The sequence below is a fragment of the Homo sapiens genome, chromosome 4, assembly GCF_000001405.40.
Source record: "Homo sapiens chromosome 4, GRCh38.p14 Primary Assembly".
Classification (NCBI taxonomy): domain Eukaryota; kingdom Metazoa; phylum Chordata; class Mammalia; order Primates; family Hominidae; genus Homo; species Homo sapiens.
Genome location: NC_000004.12, coordinates 170044951 through 170053016, shown reverse-complemented (window position 1 = coordinate 170053016; position 8066 = coordinate 170044951). Strand labels below are relative to the sequence as shown.

Genomic DNA, 8066 nt, shown 5'->3' with positions numbered 1-8066 from the left:
TTCCTGTGTAGCACTTACCACACTAAGAAGTAATTATCTGTGCAAGTATTTATTAATTTCTGCCTGTCCCCTTCTCCCCACAGACCATAATCTCTGTGAGGGCAAGCACTGTATCTTCACAGCTGTAACCTCAGAACCGATTGCAGTGCAGATGTCTTGCTCTCAATAGATATGTGTTGCCATGGAATTGTACACTTTATTATTTGTTTTTTGTTGGTTTTTTTTTTTAATTTCTTTGAGATGGAGTTTCGCTCTTGTTGCCCAGGCTGGAGTGCAGTGGCACGATCTCGGCTAACAGCAACCTCCGCCTCCCAGGTTCAAGCAATTCTCCTGCCTCAGGCTCCCGAATGGCTGGGATTAGAGGCGCTCGCCAGCACACCCAGATAATTTTTTTTGTATTTTTAGTAGAGAAGGGATTTCACCATGTTGGCCAGGCTGGTCTTGAACTCCTCACCCCAGGTTATCCACCAGCCTCGGCCTCCCAAAGTGCTGGGATTACAGGTGAATTGTACATTTTAAATGGGTGGATTTTATGGTATGTGAATTACATCTCAATAAAGCTGTTTTTAAAAAAGGTTACCATGAAAGCAAATTAATTGCTTGATTGATTAAACATTAACTGACGAAAACTGGTATTCAGTAGTAGCCCATGATGCGGATAGAAAAATATTTGAATCGTATGTCTGTTGACATGAGAACACATTCAAAAAATATGAGGCCAAAGAGTCTTTATAAAGCAGTTTCTACAATACAATCCCATTTTTATTTGCGAACAAAAGGATATGTTTATTCAAACTGTATGTATGGATGCCCACATTGCCAGGAATCGTTCTGAGTGTTTGTGAACTATCAGTGAATAGGTCCTTGTTATCGTGGAGCTTACATTCGAATATGGGGAAAGCCCATAAGTAATAAGCATAATAGGCCGGGCGCAGTGGCTCACGCTTGTAATCCTAGCACTTTAAGAGGCCAAGGTGGGTGGATCACTTGAGGTCAGGAGTTCAAGACCAGCCTGACCAACATGGTGAAATCTTGTCTCTACTAAAAATACAAAAAATTAGCCGGGCGTGGTGGTGCATGCCTGTAATCCCAGCTACTTGGGAGGCTGAGGCAGGATAATTGCCTGAACCCAGGAGGCAGAGGTTGCAGTGAGCCAAGATCACGCCACTGCACTTCAGCCTGGGTAACAGAGCAAGACTCTGTCTCAAAAAAAAAAAAGAAAGGAATAAGCATAATAAATAAGTGGATTGCATAGGATGTTAGAAGTGTAAAAGGACCATGATGGGTTGGAGAGGGTAAAGAAGAGGGTCTGGGAGTGCAGGGGAAGAGCATGTCGCAGTGTTCAGTGGGGTGGTGCTCAGTCCTCATTGAGAAAGTGAGAAGGTGAGCAAAGACTCATGTTAGACAAGTGGTGGCTGAGGGAAGAGCAAGGCCCTAAAGCAAGTTTGAGCCTCCTCAATTCAGCAGCCCAGGAACAGGCAGGAGACCAGCATGGCAGCAGCAGAGAAAACAAGGCATGTGCAGGGCTGCCTCACTTTATTGAGCTTTACTTTATAACACTTTTCAGAGACTGCATTTCTTACAAATGGAAGGTTCGTGGCAACCTTCTGCATTAGCACCATTTTTCCAACCACATGCCTTCACTTTGCGTCTCTGTGTCTCATCTGGGTAATTCTCACAATATTTCACTTTTTAATTATTATTATATATGTTATGCTGCTTGATAATTGTCTTTGACATTACTATTATAATTTTGGGGGTTGCCATGAACTGTGCCCCTGTAAGATAGCAAACTTCATCAATAAATGTTATGTGTGTTCTGTTTCACACACCAGACATTTCCCCATCTCTCTCCTCAGGCCTCCCTATTTTCTGAGACGCAACAATATTGAAATTAGGCCAATTAAGAATCCTACAATACCGGCCGAGCAGAGTGGCTCACACCTGTAATCCTAACACTTTGGGAGGCTAAGGCGGGTGGATCACTGGAGGCCAGGAGTTTGAGACCAGCCTGGCCAACATGTGAAACCCCATCTCTCCTAAAAATACCAAAAATACAAATCGCTCCTAAAAATACAAAACAAAAACAAAACAATACACCTAGCCAGGCATTGTGGCACATGCCTGTAATTCCAACTACTTGGGAGGCTGAGGCAGGAGAATTGCTTGAACCTGGGAGGTGGAGGTTGCAGTGAGCTGAGATTGCGCCACTGCACTCCAGCCTGAGCAACACAGTGAGACTCCATCTCAATCAATCAATCAATCAATCAATCAAAAATCCTACAATAGCCTGTAATCCCAGCACTTTAAGATGCTGAGGCAGGCAGATCACTTGAGTCCAGGAGTTCAACACCAGCCTGGGCAACATGGAGAAACCCTGTCTCTACAAAAACTACAAAAATTAACTAGCATGCTGGTGCACACCTGTAGTCCCAGCTACTTGGGAGGCTGAGATGAAAGAATCACCTGAGCCCAGGAAGTGGAGGCTGCAGTGAGCCAAGATTGTGCCACCACACTCTAGCCTGGGCGACAGAGCAAGACCCTGTCTCAAAAAAAAAAAAAAAAGAATCTTGCAATAACCTCTAAGTGTTGAAGTGAAAGGAAGAATCTCAAGTCTCTCACTTTAAATCAAAAGCTAGAAATAATTAAGCTTAGTGAGAAAGGCATGTTGAAAGCTGAGATACGCAGAAATCTAGGCCTCTTGCACCGAGCAGCTAGCAACCTCCCGGAACCTCGGTTTCCTCCTCATTTGTAAAATGGGGCAAATCTGCTTCCAGTTGTTTTGAACATTAACTTAGGTAATGCATGCAAAGCACATAGCGTCATTGTTGTTATTTGTGAGCCTTAGAAGACTCTGCTATACATGTCTATTATCAGCAGTTAAAAGGTTCACCGAGATGTGACGCATGACTTTCTCCCTCATCTTTATTGCCAAATCCATTTTTCATTCTCGTTTTCCTTTCTCATGTACTTTGAAGACCTCCTTCCTTGGCAGACAGACTTTGCAATCCCAGGGACTCCAAGTTTCCTGCATCACAGTTAGCACCACAGAATTCATCTGGAGCCTGGGGAGAAATGCCCCAGGCGTCCTCCAAACATTTGAAGCTTCTCCAGCTTCACTTGTCTGTTTCTTACTTAGTCTGTGCGCATTCCGCCTAACTTTGTATTTGCTAGATGAAGGGGATAATGATTATGACTGTTTCAGTAAGCAAGAGCAAGTGAGGCAATTAGTTCAATAAATGTTAATTAAGTGCTAACTATATGCAGCTACTGTGAGAGGTGCTGGAAATACAAGATCAGGAAAAGAGCCCATGTCCAGAAGAAGTTCACAAAAATCTCTTAACTATTTTAATCCCAACAACAAAGTAACTTTCCTGGCTATTACATAATGTCACATTTGAATTTCTCAAGATTTCTTTTTTACCTTTCTTGGTCTTACAAACTTCACGTGCCTGAAATTTCTTGTGTTTGCCTTTTTTTCCTCAATAGAGTTGATAGATACCTCTGCTGGATGGGTCTCTCTTGGCAGTCCTGAATAAGCAGTGTTCATGGTGCAAATTAAGCATTTGGAAAGCACATTCATCTTTTTAAATGCAGTATTTAGCAAGTTCTTGCTACCTGGAAAGTGTTCCATAAATATTTGTTTAATCATGAAAAGGATTTTCAAGTTGTCAGGGTACAATTTAATTTCAACATGCTCAGTAAGTTTGGGGAGAGCAGACAGGATGTGCATAATTTGGTATTCTTGGGAATAAGGAGAAGGTGGAGCAATGTCTGGGAACTGAAACTGACACCCAAGAACTTGCATCTGAACTTTGTTTCTTAGACCTGAGCCCCCTTGGAACTCAGCATCAGCCTCAGGTCAGGGCAGGTTGGTGGTTGAAGCATTTAGGGAAGGATGTTTATAACAACTTATTTTTTACTTATTATAGGAGTGCATGCTCATCACAACCAAAATGAGTAATTGAGGTGGTCAGGGGTAGAGCAGGCCTTCAAACTCAGTTATCTGTCCCCTAGAGCAGGGTTGCCCAACCCCCAGTCCATGGCCCAGTAGGAACTGGGCTGCACAGCAGGAGGCGAGCTTCATCTGTATTTACAGCTGCTCCCCATCACTTGCATTTCTGCCTGAGCTCCGCCTCCTGTCAGATCAGCAGGGGCATTAGATTCTCACAGGAGCGTGAACCCTATTGTGAACTGCACATGTGAGGGATGTAGGTTGCACACTCCTTATGAGAATCTAATGCCAGATGATCTGTCACTGTCTCCCATCATGCCCAGGTAGAACCATCTAGTTTCAGGAAAACAAGCTCAGGGCTCCCAGATTCTACATTACGGTGACTTGTCTAACTTTTTGTTATATATTACAACGTAATAAAAATAGAAATAAAGTGCACAACAAATGTAATGCACTTGAATCATCCCAAAACCATCCCCCCAACCCCGGTTCATGGAAAAATTGTCTTCCACAAAACCAGTCCCTCGTGCCAAAAAGGTTGGGAACTGCTCCCCTGGAGTCATGATACAAGACTGTGTCACCTTAGGGCTGAGCTGAGGATCACCTGAGTGATGGGTGACCTTGGGGCTGGGCTCAGAGCCAGTGAGAGGAGTGGGGGACATCTTTATGCTGGGGTTCCAGAAGAGGACAAAGCAGCATTGCCAATATGTTTGTGAGATGTCGTCAGAAAAAGATAAGGTAGAGGAGTGCAGTTATGCAGCAGGTTCAGCAACACTTAGAGATCTCTCACCTACAGATGGATGCTTAGCTCACATTGCTCAAGAGAAAGGAGCATAAATGCAACTTAGCCCCTAAGTTGTACATTTCAAAGACTCAGAAATATGCAGCCAGAGATTTGTTATCAACAGTCATCAAGAGGGAAGGATAAACACGAAAGGCTTGTGGGAATGATAATTGTTAGAATGTCCAAGCATCAATAATTTGTGACAACCTAGGACATCTCAAAAGTCTGTATGTTGGATTGCTTTGAATTGGATTTATCACATCCTATGCTATCGTGAAAAACAAGTTTGAAATGTAAATGAGCAACACATCTTGACCAGCAGGCGGCAGTCTTACCTCATATAATTTCTTTAAAAGCTTGCAGAAAGAATTACAGTAAATTATTTTTTTTTAATTGTACTGAAAATTTATTAGAATGGATTTTTTAAATGCCAAATTCACAACTAAAATGCAATTTATTGCAAAAAATTCAAAATTCCTTTTTGTCTCAGTATAAAAAACATTGAATGTATCTATTAGAAATTAATGAACAATTTTGTAAATGATACAAAAGAAAATTTTAACAAATGGTGAAACATTTTCTTATCTCAGGACACCAAATTAAAAAAAATTTAGGGCAGGTGCGGTGGCTCACACCTGTAATCCCAACTACTTTAGGAGGACAAGGCAGGAGGAACTCTTTTTTTATTTTATTTTATTTTATTTTATTTTATTTTTTTATTGATCATTCTTGGGTGTTTCTCGCAGAGGGGGATTTGGCAGGGTCACAGGACAATAGTGGAGGGAAGGTCAGCAGATAAACAAGTGAACAAAGGTCTCTGGTTTTCCTAGGCAGAGGACCCTTCGGCCTTCCGCAGTGTTTGTGTCCCTGGACTTGAGATTAGGGAGTGGTGATGACTCTTAACGAGCATGCTACCTTCAAGCATCTGTTTAACAAAGCACATCTTGCACCGCCCTTAATCCATTCAACCCTGAGTGGATACAGCACATGTTTCAGAGAGCACAGGGTTGGGGGTAAGGTCACAGATCAACAGGATCCCAAGGCAGAAGAATTTTTCTTAGTACAGAACAAAATGAAAAGTCTCCCATGTCTACCTCTTTCTACACAGACACGGCAACCATCCGATTTCTCAATCATTTCCCCACCTTTCCCCCCTTTCTATTCCACAAAACCGCCATTGTCATCATGGCCCGTTCTCAGTGAGCTGTTGGGTACACCTCCCAGACGGGGTGGTGGCCGGGAAGAGGGGCTCCTCACTTCCCAGTAGGGGCAGCCAGGCAGAGGCGCCCCTCACCTCCCGGACAGGGCGGCTGGCCGGGCACGGGGCTGACCCCCCCCCCCCACCTCCCTCCCGGACGGGGTGGCTGGCCGGGCAGAGGGGCTCCTCACTTCCCAGTAGGGGCGGCCGGGCAGAGGCGCCCCTCACCTCCCGGACGGTGCGGCTGGTCGGGCGGGGGGCTGACGCCCCCACCTCCCTCCCGGACGGGGTGGCTGGCCGGGCAGGGGGCTGACCCCCCCACCTCCCTCCCGGACGGGGCGGCCAGCCAGGCAGAGCGGCTCCTCACTTCCCAGTAGGGGCGGCCGGGCAGAGGCGCCCCTCACCTCCCGGACTGGGCGGCTGGCCGGGCGGGGGGCTGACCCCCCCCACCTCCCTCCCGGACGGGGCGGCTGGCCGGGCGGGGGGCTGACCCCCCCACCTCCCTCCCGGACGAGGTGGCTGCCGGGCGGAGACGCTCCTCACTTCCCAGACGGGGTGGCTGCTGGGCGGAGGGGCTCCTCACTTCTCAGACAGGGCGGCTGCCGGGCGGAGGGGCTCCTCACTTCTCAGATGGGGCGGTTGCCAGGCAGAGGGTCTCCTCACTTCTCAGACAGGGCGGCCGGGCAGAGATGCTCCTCACATCCCGGACCGGGCGGCAGGGTAGAGGCGCTCCCCACATCTCAGACGATGGGCGGCCGGGCAGAGACACTCCTCACTTCCTAGATGGGATGGCGGCTGGGCAGAGACGCTCCTCACTTTCCAGACTGGGCAGCCAGGCAGAGGGGCTCCTCACATCCCAGTCGATGGGCGGCCAGGCAGAGACGCTCCTCACTTCCCAGACTGGGTGGCGGCCGGGCAGAGGCTGCAATCTCGGCACTTTGGGAGACCAAGGCAGGCGGCTGGGAGGTGGAGGTTGTAGTGAGCCGAGATCACGACACTGCACTCCAGCCTGGGCACCATTGAGCACTGAGTGAACGAGACTCCGTCTGCAATCCCGGCACCTCGGGAGGCCGAGGCTGGCGGATCACTCGCGGTTAGGAGCTGGAGACCAGCCCGGCCAACACAGCGAAACCCCGTCTCCACCAAAAAAATACGAAAACCAGTCAGGCGTGGTGGCGCGCGCCTGCAATCGCAGGCACTCGGCAGGCTGAGGCAGGAGAATCAGGCAGGGAGGTTGCAGTGAGCCAAGATGGCAGCAGTACAGTCCAGCTTCGGCTCGGCATCAGAGGGAGACCGTGGAAAGAGAGGGAGAGGGAGACTGTGGGGAGAGGGAGAGAGGGAGAGAGGGAGAGGGAGAGCTAAATTATTTTATTCTATGTGATATCTCAACAGGAATCTAAATATAAAACTCATATTTAGAATGAATTATAAATTGAATATTATTTAATCATACCGTGGCCTGGAGTTCTATGACTAATGATAACTAAACCTGTTCATTCAACTAACTGCAAAAATACAAGACACGTGTAGCTATTACTTGAATTTACCATCAAGACATATTTCAGCACACTAGATAGAAAAGTATAATGTCTAGACTACTCTTAAGTCATAGGGGGGCAAATACAGTTAAATATCAATTTTCCAATTAAGATATTTAATTTATTTTGCCTTCCTATGTCAGGCCTGTATAATTTTATATTACATACCTCAGAAGTCTCATTCATTTTTTTCAAATGTATAAGTTTTCATTCACTCTAAAGAAATATTACTTTCAATGTTTTAGAACGGTTAATGTATGGTTGCAATTTTTATAACATTTAAAAGCATATGTCACATACTTAGTCCATTTTGTGTTGCTATAACAGAATGCCACAAGCTAGGTAATTTATAAGGAAAAGAAGTTTATTTGGCTCATGGTTCTGGAGTCCTGGAAGTCCAAGTGCATGATGCTGACATGTGGTGAAGACTTTAGTGCAGCATGATCCCATGGCAGAAGGCAGAAGGGCAAGAGGGGGTGAGAGCACGAGAGGGCCAAACTTGCTTTTATAACAAACCCACTCCTACAATAACAACATTAATCTATTCATGAGGGCAGAGCTTTCATGGCCTAAACACCTCTTAATGGTCCC

At 46.3% G+C, this 8066-nt stretch overlaps 1 annotated feature.

Annotated features, from left to right (window-relative positions):
• Nucleotides 7013-7552: an enhancer, noted in NCBI's record as "H3K27ac-H3K4me1 hESC enhancer chr4:170966616-170967155 (GRCh37/hg19 assembly coordinates)". NCBI's record gives its function as "activates a minimal SCP1, AML or CMV promoter by ChIP-STARR-seq in primed H9 embryonic stem cells {active_cell/tissue: H9 hESC(primed)}" and the evidence as "EXISTENCE:reporter gene assay evidence [ECO:0000049][PMID:30033119]".